Source organism: Homo sapiens, chromosome 6, assembly GCF_000001405.40.
Source record: "Homo sapiens chromosome 6, GRCh38.p14 Primary Assembly".
NCBI classification, from domain to species: domain Eukaryota; kingdom Metazoa; phylum Chordata; class Mammalia; order Primates; family Hominidae; genus Homo; species Homo sapiens.
Window position 1 is genome coordinate 130,350,150 of NC_000006.12, and position 12,952 is coordinate 130,363,101.

A 12,952-nucleotide genomic window follows, 5' to 3' on the forward strand; every position below is an offset into this window, starting at 1 on the left:
GAAAACTGGCACAAGACAGGGATGCCCTCTCTCACCACTCCTATTCAACATAGTGTTAGAAGTTCTGGGCAGGGCATTCAGGCAGGAGAAAGAAATAAAGGGCATTCAATTAGGAAAAGAGAAAGTCAAATTGTCCCTGTTTGCAGATGACATGATTGTATATCTAGAAAACCCCATCATCTCAGCCAAAAATCTCCTTAAGCTGATAAGCAACTTCAGCAAAGTCTCAGGATACAAAATCAATGTGCAAAAATCACAAGCATTCTTATACACCAATAACAGACAAACAGAGAGCCAAATCATGAGTGAACTCCCATTCACAATTGCTTCAAAGAGAATAAAATACCTAGGAATCCAACTTACAAGGGACATGAAGGACCTCTTCAAGGAGAACTACAAACCACTGCTCGATGAAATAAAAGAGGATACAAACAAATGGAAGAACATTCCACGCTCATGGGTAGGAAGAATCAGTATCGTGAAAATGGCCATACTGCCCAAGGTAATTTATAGATTCAATGCCATTCCCATCAAACTACCAATGACTTTCTTCACAGAATTGGAAAAACTACTTTAAAGTTCATATGGAACCAAAAAAGAGCCCACATTGCCAAGACAATCTTAAGCCAAAAGTTTAGGCAAAGCTGGAGGCATCACGCTACCTGACTTCAAACTATACTACAAGGCTACAGTAACCAAAACAGCATGGTACTAGTACCAAAACAGAGATATAGACCAATGGAACAGAACAGAGCCCTCAGAGATAATGCCGCATATCTACAACCATCTGATCTTTGACAAACCCATCAAAACCAAGCAATGGGGAAAGCATTCCCTATTTAATAAATGGTGCTGAGAAAAGTGGCTAGCCATATGTAGAAAGCTGAAACTGGATCCCTTCCTTACACCTTATACAAAAATTAATTGGGGATGGATTAAAGACTTACAGGTTAGACCTAAAACCATAAAAACCCGAGAAGAAAACCTAGGCGATACCACTCAGGACATAGGCATGGACAAAGACTTTTTGTCTAAAACACCAAAAGCAATGGCAACAAAAGCCAAAATTAACAAATGGGATCTAATTAAACTAAAGAGCTTCTGCACAGCAAAAGAAACTACCATCAGAGTGAACAGGCAACCTACAGAATGGGAGAAAATTTTTGCAATCTACTCGTCTGACAAAGGGCCAATATCCAGAATCTTCAATGAACTCCAACAAATTTACAAGAAAAAAACAAACAACCCCATCAAAAAGTGGGCAAAGGATATGAACAGACACTTCTCAAAAGAAGACATTTATGCAGCCAAAAGACACACGAAAAAATGCTCATCATCACTGGCCATCAGAGAAATGCAGATCAAAACCACAATGAGATACCATCTCACACCAGTTAGAATGGTGATCATTAAAAAGTCAGGAAACAACAGGTGCTGGAGAGGATGTGGAGAAATAGGAACACTTTTACACTGTTGGTGGGACTGTGAACTAGTTCACCCATTGTGGAAGTCAATGTGATCTAGAACTAGAAATACCATTTGACCCACCCATCCCATTACTGGGTATATACCCAAAGGATTATAAAACATGCTGCTCTAAAGACACATGCACACATATGTTTATTGCGGCACTATTCACAATAGCAAAGATTTGGAACCAACCCAAATGTCCATCAATGATAGACTGGATTAAGAAAATGTGGCACATATACACCATGGAATACTAGGCAGCCATAAAAAATGATGAGTTCATGTCCTTTGTAGGGACATGAATGAAGCTGGAAACCATCATTCTCAGCAAACTATCACAAGGACAAAAAACCAAACACCGCATTTTCTCACTCGTAGGTGGGAATTGAACAATGAGAACACATGGACACAGGAAGGGGAACATCACACACCATGGTCTGTTGTGTGTTGGGGGGAGGGGGGAGGGATAGTATTAGGAGAAATACCTAATGTTAAATGACGAGTTAATGGGTGCAGCACACCAACATGGCACATGTATGCATATGTAACAAACCTGCACATTGTGCACATGTATCCTAAAACTTAAAGTATAATAATAAATAACATAAATTAAAAATTAATATGGTTGTTTTACATAGAAAGGGGATAAACTCGAGTCAAGGAGCTATATTAATAAATCAAGATATTAAGACTTTATGAGTAGAAGCCCATTAAAATTATTTCAGCAGTTTTTCTCATCATATATTAAAACTCAAGTATGCCTCACAACTTAAGGAGTTTTGAATTGGAACTTCTTCACTTTACGACTTTTCTTACTATCAATAAAATATCACCCCTGCCATTAGTAACCAACAATTCTCCTGTTTATGATTGCAAATTACCTCCAATCAAAGGGACCCCAAATACCCACCTGATCCACACATCTAAGTGCTAATGCAAAGTCAAGGATAGGGCCACTCAAGCTCATTGTGTAGCTGCACTTAGAGTGAAGATTATTGAAGAATATGAAAATTTCACTTTCCTAGAACTTGCCCTTCCAGTGTGTCTGTGGTCTTCATGCTCACTGAGTTAGAAATTAAACATTTTGAATAGTAGACCTTAATTTTGAAAAGAACTCACAGTTTCTATGAACAGCAAAGAAAACATATACTGCTCTGGGGAGATTTACCTATAACAGATGTGTCTACATCTACATTCTGAAATTCTCAGAGCTCTTATATTAATGAGCTTTAGCTAAAAGGATCATTTATGATATACTGTAGAAATTTTTGGTTTTACCTAATTAATAATTGTTTAAAACCAAAATATTGGAAGGAGTTGACACATTTATTTTCCATTTCTTCATGTTTCTATCGGCAAAAAGCAAAGAGTAAATACTTCTTGTTCCTTTCTTGACTTATTTTGGGGTCTTGTGTGAAAGGTTCCTCTTGTTCACATCTATTTCCTTTTGAAATGCTATACTCACTACCAGTTAGAAAGGCCAGCACTCTGTTCTGCATCTAGTCTTTCTTTCTGTTCCAGCTTAACTGTCTGAGACAGAAGATCCAGTGATGGAGAGAGAGGCAGTAGAATGATTTGGTCCATAATAATATCTCTAATCCAGCTTTTATTTGATAGCTCTGCATTTTGGAGTTGTTTAATATGTTTGCATTACCATAAATAAAACTGATACTTTGGCCTCTACTTGGCCATCAGTTGTTTTGTGTATATGCAGTTGGTCAAACCTAGAGGGGAGGAGAAGAGCCTTCCAGGACATAAGCACCTAACACATGTGTTTTTGTTTTATTTATTTAGGTTATTAATTTTTGTATTTTATATTTTGAAATGGGTTTCCAAAAATAAAATTCTAATTTCTATCACTGCACTTAATATAGGAAATAAAGGTACAACTTCAAATAACATGATCTGCGATATCTTCTGACAAACCACAAATTAGGATGTCAGTTGGGATTTCTAGCCCTCTTTTTAATCCAGATTTTGTAACCCTCAAATTTACTACAAAAATAAAATTGGTTATCCAAAATAAGCTTTGACTTCTACATCAGCCATCTCAAATACACTATTTTAGGGAGCAAAGGGACAAAGGGAAGAGTAGAAGACAAATGAGACCAGAAGGAAAGATCAAACTAACTCCCCTAAAAATCCGAGACTCACAGAGGGATACACATCTGTGTCTGCAGGCTATAAGCCATATCTCAGACATCAGTTCTCCTTAAAAGTATGGTATTCCACAGCAAAAGAAACTATCAATGGAGTAAACAGACAATCTACAGAAGAGTAGAAAATATTTGCAAACTATGCATCTGAAAAAAAGTCTAATATCCAGCATCTATAAGGAACGTAAACAACTTTGCAAGAAAAAAACAAACAACCCCATTAAAAAGTGGGCAAAGGACATGAACAGAAACTTTTCAAAAGAAGACATACATGCAGCCAACGAGCATATGAAAACAAGCTCAACATCACTGATCATTAGAGAAATGCAAATCAAAACCACAGTGAGATACTATCTCACACCAGTCAGAATGGCTATTATTAAAAAGTCAAAAAAATAACAGATGCTAGTGAGGTTGTAGAGAAAAAGGAATGCTCATACACTGTTGGTGGGAGTGTAAATTAGTTCAACCATTGTGGAAAGAAGTGTGGTAATTCCTTAAAGACCTAAAAACAGACCTACCATTTGACCCAGTAATCCCATTACTGAGTATATACCCAAAGTAATGTAAATTGTTCTATCATAAAGACACATTCATGCATATGTTCACTGCAGTGCTATTCACAATAGCAGACATGGAATCCACCTAAATTGCTCACCACTGGTAGACTGGATAAAGAAAATGTGGTACATATACACCATGGAATACTATGCAGCCATAAAAAAGAAAGAGATCACATCCTTTGCAGCAACATGGATGGGGCAGGAGGCCATCATCCTTAGCAAACTAATGTAGTAACAGAAAACCAAATATCACATGTTCTCACTTATAAGTGGGAGCTAAATGATGAGAAACAACAGACACTGGGGCCTATGTGAGGGTGAAGGGTGGGGAAGGGAGAGGATTAAAAAAATAACTATTGGGCACCAGGTTTAGTACACGGGTGACAAAATAATCTGTCAACAACCCTCTGTGACACGAATTTACCTATATAACAAACCTGCACATGTACCCGTAAACCTGAAATAAAAGTTAACAAAAATAAATTAAAGTAGATGTCCCTTGGCATAGCTGATGGTGCTAATTCAAATTTGAAGAGATAGCAGAGCCTCCTTTGAGACCTGCTAACCTTTTAAACCAGTGCTAAACTAAAAAAAAAGGATATGGCATTCCAGAGCCACACTCCCCTTGGGAAATCAACTGATTATTAAAAATGCAGAAAAAGTTTATCTTTAAAGACTCTGACCTCCTCAGCAATCAGTGATGTGTAGGTTTCCCAGATAAAGTGAACTTCAGAACTTTGCATCCTACATGCCATCTGTAGCAGCACCTGTAGGGTACATTTGTTTACAATAAGGATGCAACTGCCCAGGCACGGTGGCTCACGCCTGTGATCCTAGCACTTTGGGAGGCCAAGGCAGGTGGATCACCTGAGGCCGGGAGCTCGAGACCAGCCTAGCCAACATGGTGAAACCCCGTCTCTACTAAAAATACAACAATTAGCCGAGCATGGTAGCATACACCTGTAATATCAGCTACTCAGGAGGCTGAGGCAGGAGAATCATTTGAACCTCTGAGGCGGAGGTTGCAATGAGCTGATATTGCACCACTGCACTCCAGCCTAGGTGACAGAGTGAGACTCTGTCTCAAAAAAATAAAATAAAATAAAAAATAAGGATGCAACTTACATTGGTGTCACCTCCGTTTTTAAACTTGAATGACATGTACAACTCTTCCTTAATCCAGTTCTTTTTGTTTATCCATGTAGTTTCAAAGACTGAAAAGACATAACATCTTCTCTAATGGAGGAAGGTTGTGGTCACATGATGCTCTTACTATCAAGAAATACCATTTTCAAACAGAAAAATGCTAAACCCACCAGGCAATAAAAGAAAATTGTGCTTCAGTGGGGTAGTCCCCAGGGATCTATCATTAGTGAGGCAAGATGACATGACAGACACAGGAAAAATGGAGAAGCACCAGTAAGAGGGGTCAGAGACAAGAGGGGCAGCCCCAGAAACACCACAAGAAGAAGCAGGAGTACTTCAGCCCAGTGGCTATTAGAGAAACATCTCACACAAAGTGTAGAGCGCATGATTTAGTGAATATTTGGAGAAACCACAAAAGATTTACATCAATTAAAATTCCACACTGTCTTTTCCATTCTGAGACACTTTCCCATCAGTGCCATTTTTCCTTGCTACAGCCTTTTAGAGGTGCAGCCTATTTTGTCTGTTCCTTTTTTTCAATTGCCATCAGTTTGAAAATCTTGCTAAATTCTCAGGATTGTGAAAATGCGAATCAGATTGTACAACATATAAATAAGATCAAGTCACTCACTGTTTTAAAGTCTTCGTTGGTTTCCCATCAAACCTATAATCAAAACCTGAGTCCTACAAAGCCCTGGATGACCAGGTCTCTGACTCCTTATCCTCTCTCATCAATCAGTATTCACCCTTTTCCTCATCTTCTCAGCTGGAAGGGCCGTCTGGTTGGTCCCTACACATACCCAGAACACTCTAGCTCAGAGTTTCTGCATTTGCCTTTTCCTCAGCCTGGTCTGCCCCGGCTACAGATATCTGTAAAGCTTCTGCCTTATTTTATGCAGATATCTGCTCAAATATTACATCCTAAAGAGAACTTCTCTGATATTCTATATAAAACCACATTCTCATCCCAGGATTACTGTCTAGCCTCTTACCCTACCTTATTTTTCTTCATAGCATGTATCATTTCCAAACATTATATTACATATGTAATTATTATCTGCCCCTCCGGCATCTAAGTCATTAAGGGTGAAGACTATGGTCTGGAACATAGTAGTAGGAACACATGAAAAGTGTATTGAATAAAGGAACAAATAGTTGTTATCACAAGTTGATTGTTTCTGATATTCCTGTAGACGGTACCAGAGTGCCCAACAGCTTTGCTAGTTTTCCTTTTTTCTCTGAGGGTGGAGCTCATTGAATTGAGCTCAATCCTCAATCTTTTGTTCTTTTCTGGACCTAGTAAGTTCCCATTTCTATGAAGAAGTCACTTACCTGTTGGGACTACAGGGAAGAAATTAAGAGGACAACCAGACAGCCACAATTAATTCATATTTCATATGCTTTCAAATCTGAGTGACTCAATGTTGCTTAGCTTCCCATTTTGCAAGTGATTCACAAACACTTCCATCAAACTATCCCTTTTGCTGAGGAAAACGGACTTTTACCTTTGTATCTACTGTATCATGAAGTGGGCACATAGGTCAAATCATTAGATGGGAATGCAGAATTTCTTGATATTTTGTATTTTATCTTTAAAAATCTATGAGATTTAAAAAATTATCTGCCATGGCATCTTTTTTTTTTTTTTTTTTTTTTTTGAGACGGAGTCTCACTTTGTCACCCAGGCTGGAGTGCAGTGGCGTGATCTTGGCTCACTGCAAGCTCCGCCTCCCGGGTTCACGCCATTCTCCTGCCTCAGCCTCCCGAGTAGCTGGGACTACAGGTGCCCACCACCACGCCAGGCTAATTTTTTGTATTTTTAGTAGAGACGGGGTTTCACCGTGTTAGCCAGGATGGTCTTGATCTCCTGACCTCATGATCTGCCCGCCTCGGCCTCCCAAAGTCCTGGGATTACAGGCGTGAGCCACCACACCCGGCCGGCATCTTTTAATTTCAGTTAAAAAAAATCTCCCTTCAATCATCCAGCAAAATTGCTCAGCCAGGAGGCTGTACCACATTAACTCCTGACTTGCAGTAGCCCCTGGCAAACCACCTGTACTCCTGTTATAACCATTTCCCATTAAGAGAGTATTTTTGCATAGGGGATAATGAACATGAAGACAGGAGACCTGTGTTCTTGTCCTAGCCTTAACATTCGTTTGCTGCTAGATCCTTGGCAAGTTAAACTCTCGGAGCTCCAACATTCTAATGTGTATCTTCCCTCTCAATGTTAAAAAAATAATTTCAAATCTCTAGTAGGTAATTGATCAACCTGTGAAGGAAAAACCTGCTGCTACCTGACACACTTTATTAAACACTGTAAAAGAGCATTGCTCATGAGTATGTTTGGGTAAACTTTGTGAAAGCACGGTCATCATGTTTTTTGTTGGCACATGCCAAAATTTTGTTTAAGTAAGTAATGAGGACATTAACAGGAAGACAAAAGAGCTGATTTGGCAAGTACTTGAGAAATGAAGATTTACCTTGTCAGTAGGAAAGGAAATACTAAATTAGGTATAAGACTAGTGAGTAGAGTTAATTTCTCTCATAGTAAAAATTTATTATTTTCTGTCTGCTCTTTTTATCTACTGTGGGTTGATAATCAAATATCCTTTGGCAGAAAGCTGCATTTTCTTTGACATAGAAGCAGAAGAATCTAAGTAGATAACATTTTCCCTAGCAGGATATTTAAAAATCAAGCAACCATTACCTTGCCTTTTTCTGTGTTTTGAAGTAAATTATTCTTTCACGTATCTAAAAGAAGCAAATGGAAGGAAGCTTCACATTGATTACACTTGCCAGAAGATTCCTTAAAACTTGCTTTTAGACACACTGGGATTTCAGGAAGCTTTCAATTCTGATTGCAGATCTCATTAAGGATTCCAAAAATCTTGCATCTTAGCTGATCAATTCTAAGGTGAAATCCAGTTTTTAAATTTGTTGTTGTGTGTACATGTCAGGAAAGTTCTGAAAATGTGAAGGTGAACTTCCAAAATCTGTCATTTATCAGTAAGCTCCATCTGACTGCTGTGTCCACAGTTGACAGAGGAGGAAAAGGGCTTGATGGTTGTTGTTGTTATTTTTTTAAACTGTTCATTATCAAAATAATACAATTTCACTAAGAAAATTTTGAAAGAAAAAAATTGTCTAAAATAAAAATTTAGAGTAATACCCTTACTCTTCAATTTCATTCCCCATTGGTAGCCTCTGTTAATATTTTTGTGTATATCCCACTATGTCTTACACACACACACACACACACACACACACACACACATTTTAACAAAGATGGGATCACACTATACAAGATTCTACAAGTTATTTTCTCACTAACAATGTCTCCTTAACCCCTACTCATATCCGTGGATATAGATCTTTTGTCTAATGCTGCATGGTATTCCATTGTATGAACATGTTGTAATTTAAGTAGTCTTTTATTGATGGGCACAGAGGTGATTTCCAGTTTCACCAAGAGGTAGCTATCACAGTTGTTGAGAGCACAGGCCTTAGCATCAGACTGCGTGGGCTCATGAGCCCAGTTCCTCCACTTACTTACTTGGATAAACTACTTAATCTCCCTTACTCCAGTTATTTCAGCTGTAAAATGGAGAAAAAATTAGTGCTTGCTCTAAAAGACTATTATGAAGAGTTAATAGTTATAAAATGCTTAGAATAGTGCCCATTTCATAGTAAGTACTGTATAATAATTTTATATGATATTTTTATCACTATATACAATACTAAAATCCACTGATTTTATATGTATCTAAACTTCAACTTTTGATTGGGTCTGATTTGTTTGAGTACACAGAACAAATTCTTAATCTGGAATGCAAAGCCCACTGTAAGCTGGCCTCTGCCTATTTCTCCTATGCCTTCCCACACTCCAGCCACAGTGATTCTTCCTACACTTCTCTGAGTGCACAATACTGTGTTCTTTTCTGGAAATTGCACACACATTTCCCTCTCTTTGAATTCTGTTACATCCTTGTCTACCTTTTGAAGTCTCTGCATCTTTCAGAGCCAAGATCTTGGATCCCTATGTCTTTGAATTCTCCTTTGAACAAAGGATTTCTGATGATCCTTATTTTATATCACCATTTTGTACCCATTAGGGCACTTTTCATACTGCAGCTATGTGCTTACAAAGATGCCAAACACACCAGACCACAATAAATATGCAGAAAAGGGCTCTCACTCGCTCATTTCTATACAGCCCAACTGAATATAATGCCCAATACATTATGTGAATGCTTTCTGAATTAATAAAAGAACAATCTAAAACTGAAACTCTACTCACATTTTATCACAAGGCTGTTTCCTTAGGTGTGAAGGAGTGGTAAGGCTGGGAAAATGCATAGCTTCCAGGGATATGCTAAATCTTTCAATCACTTGGGACCTGTAAAGCACTCTAACATGAGTCATGTTTTATGAGTGCTAAATAAGTACTGAACTAGGAATAGGAAGATCCAGTTTCCAGCCATGGCCCTGTCATTCTGTGGTTATGTGATCTTAAGCTGGGCACTTGTGTTCATAAACTAAAAATTGAAGGAGTGGCAAAGAATGGTATCTAATGCAAAGAATAAATGTAATGTCTAAGAGAAGATCTGACATGCTCAAGTTCATTGCAGCTTATTTCCTTATATAAACAGGTGTTTCTAGATCAGCAATGACACAATGAGCAATAATCCCCAGTGTCAAAACTCATTAAATGACTATTGTTTACAGAACAGATTATCAGGTTTGAAGTTTCTCTTGAAAAATGAATGTGCCAACGTTTTCTCATGTTCCAAAAGAAATGTGTGAAAGTATCGGGGAACCTGCCCCAATAGTCATGTAGGTCCTTTTCTATTTTCCCTAAGTGTCGGCCAGGTTGAGAAATAAAGGGACAGAGCACAAAAGAGAGAAATTTTAAAGCTGGGCATCTGGGGGAGACATCACATGTTGGTAGGTTCTGTGATGTCCCACAAGCCACAAAACCAGTAAGTTTTTATTAGGGACTTTCAAAGAGGAGGGAGTGTACGAATAGGGTGTGGGTCACAAAGATCATGTACTTCACAAGGTAATAGAATATCACAAGGCAAATGGAGGCAGGGTGAGAACACAGGACCACAGGACCGGGGCAAAATTAAAATTGCTAATGAAGTTTCGGGCACCATTGTCATTGATAACATCTTATCAGGAGACAGGGTTTGAGAGCAACCAGTCTGACCAAAATTTATTAGGCGTGAATTTCCTCTTCCTAATAAGCCTGGGAGCGCTATGGGAGACTGGGATTTATTTCATCCCTACAGTTTCGACCATAGAAGATGGCCACACCCAAGGGGGCCATTTTAGAGACCCACCCTCAGGGGCATATTCTCTTTCTCAGGGATGTTCATTGCTGAGAAAATAATTCAGCAATATTTCTCCCATTTGCTTTTGAAAGAAGAGAAATATGGCTCTGTCCCGCCCGGCTCACTGGAGGTCAGAGTTTAAGGTTATCTCTCTTATTCCCTGAACAATTGCTGTTATACTGTTCTTTTTTCAAGGTGCCCAGATTTCATATTCTTCAAACACACATGCTCTACAATTTGTGCAGTTAACGCAATTATCACAGGGTCCTGAGGCAACATATATCCTCCTCAGCTTACGAGATGACAGAATTAAGAGATTAAAGTAAAGACAGGCATAGGAAATCACAAGGATATTGATTGGGGAAGTGATAAGTGTCCATGAAAACTTCACAATTTGTGTTTAGAGATTGCAGTAAAGACAGGCATAAGAAATTATAAAAGTATTAATTTGGGGGAACTAATAAATGTCCATGAAATCTTCACAATCCATGTTCTTCTGCCATGGCTTCAGCTGGTCCCTCCGTTTGGGGGTCCCTGACTTCCCGCAACATGAAAGGGTATTCCCTGGACCCCTAAATAGCACGATTTAAACTGCATTATATTTTACCAAAATTGTGGCTTAATTCAGGTCTAAATGATTACTGTTTACAAACTCAGCTGTATGTGTGTACAGTCTGTTGGCTGTAGGATTAAGAAATCTTGATATTTATAAACATTTTAGAATTCAAGATGCCAAGTAGTTTTGTTCTAATTTAATAAAAACAGATCTAATAAAATTGTTAAGAAAAACCTTATTTTTCTTTACTCTAGATCATGATTATGGATGGATAAATCCCAAACAGAAAGATGATGTAGTGAATTTTAAAATTTTATTTTGTCAACTAATTTAATGTGGTTGTACTGTTTTGATTGAGCAGAAACTGCAGAATTAAATTCTTTTACAATAAATTTTCACAGTGTCTGAGAATGTTATGCTGAGAGGCACCCCTTCTTGGGTTGGGGAAGTATCACTCACACAGTGCCTGAGAGATTTGTTGAACATCTGCTACATGCCGACCCAAATGTTTTACAACTATAATTTTATTATCAGTGAACACTTAAATCAGTGTTATGTGGACATGTTAAAATTATTGGCAGTTTATGGATGAGGGCAATTAAACCCAGAATAGTCAGTAAAAGTTAATATTTTAGCCCGGCTGTTCGGGTCAAAGGCTATGCTCTCTGTGTAACACCACACCACCATCACCAACTGAAATGTAGCTAAAAAGGCAGCATTTGGGCTGTGCTTCTGGAAGGGACTGAAGTGAAGGCTGATATAAGCAGAGCACCAGGGAAGTCAGAGGACATATGAACAGTGCCCTAGTGCAGTGCTTTTCAAATATTAACATGCAGACAGATCACTTGAGTATGTTGCTGAGTTGCAGAGTATGATTTAATAGGTTTGGGCAAGGGCCTGAGATCTTGCTATTCTAACAGTTCCCCCGTGATGCAAATATTGCCGAGTCTCGGACTATGCTTTTGAGTAGTCAGGCACTAACGAAAGAATGACTGGTTCAGTACCATGGACAGTGGAACAGGTGGGCCACCACTACCATCTTCTCTCATTTCAGTCAAATCTCTATTATCTTCTACAGGTAGATTCTTGCAACAAAAACAGTCAAAATCTTTAAAAAGTAATTTTTGGATTTCTATAAGCTACTTGGTGATTATCCTTCAACAGGCACAAATCTGTTCAGAGGAAAGAACTGGGCTTTGGAAGGGAGAGAGTATGGCTCCTTTCACATTTCTAAATGGTACGCTGCCAGTGCCCCTCAGGCAAAAAGAATCTAATCAGGTTTATTATCTAACAAGGAGGTATCTGATTATCTAATATAGATGATTCTGTATCTAATACAGAATTTATAAATATTTAAGTAGTCGTATCAGCCTCAACATTATAAAACATCAATCTGAGAGGGGTTAGCACTGTTACTTGCACATTTAATGAACAGAAAAGAAATTAGCAACATCTTTCTGCTGTGAAATCCACTGAACTATTAGTCAATTGCACATAATGAGAAAGAAAACATGAAAAGTATGACAAAGTGCTATTCAAAATCACGGTGAAATAAAAATGACCTTAAAATTTTATTTTTAAATATATTTCCTCTACCTTTTTCTTTATCCTATATTCCTCCCCCTATTTACTTATTTCAAGAATAAAGTCAGAAAGTTCATTTTCTTTATTGACTTTACCCTCTACTTTGAAAAAGCACCCATGGCTGCTAGCAGAAATACTACA

The 12,952-nt window shown here is 38.2% G+C and overlaps 1 protein-coding gene across 3 annotated transcripts in view, besides 1 other annotated feature; it reads right to left on the reverse strand.

The window, feature by feature from the left end:
• Positions 1 to 12,952, reverse strand: part of SAMD3 (sterile alpha motif domain containing 3) — a 223,117-nt gene that overhangs the window by 207,398 nt on the left and 2,767 nt on the right. The window lies entirely within an intron of this gene.
• Positions 12,142 to 12,342: a silencer, noted in NCBI's record as "peak6122 fragment used in MPRA reporter construct". NCBI's record gives its function as "represses an SCP1 promoter by STARR-seq MPRAs in K562 erythroleukemia cells {active_cell/tissue: K562}" and the evidence as "EXISTENCE:reporter gene assay evidence [ECO:0000049][PMID:32103011]".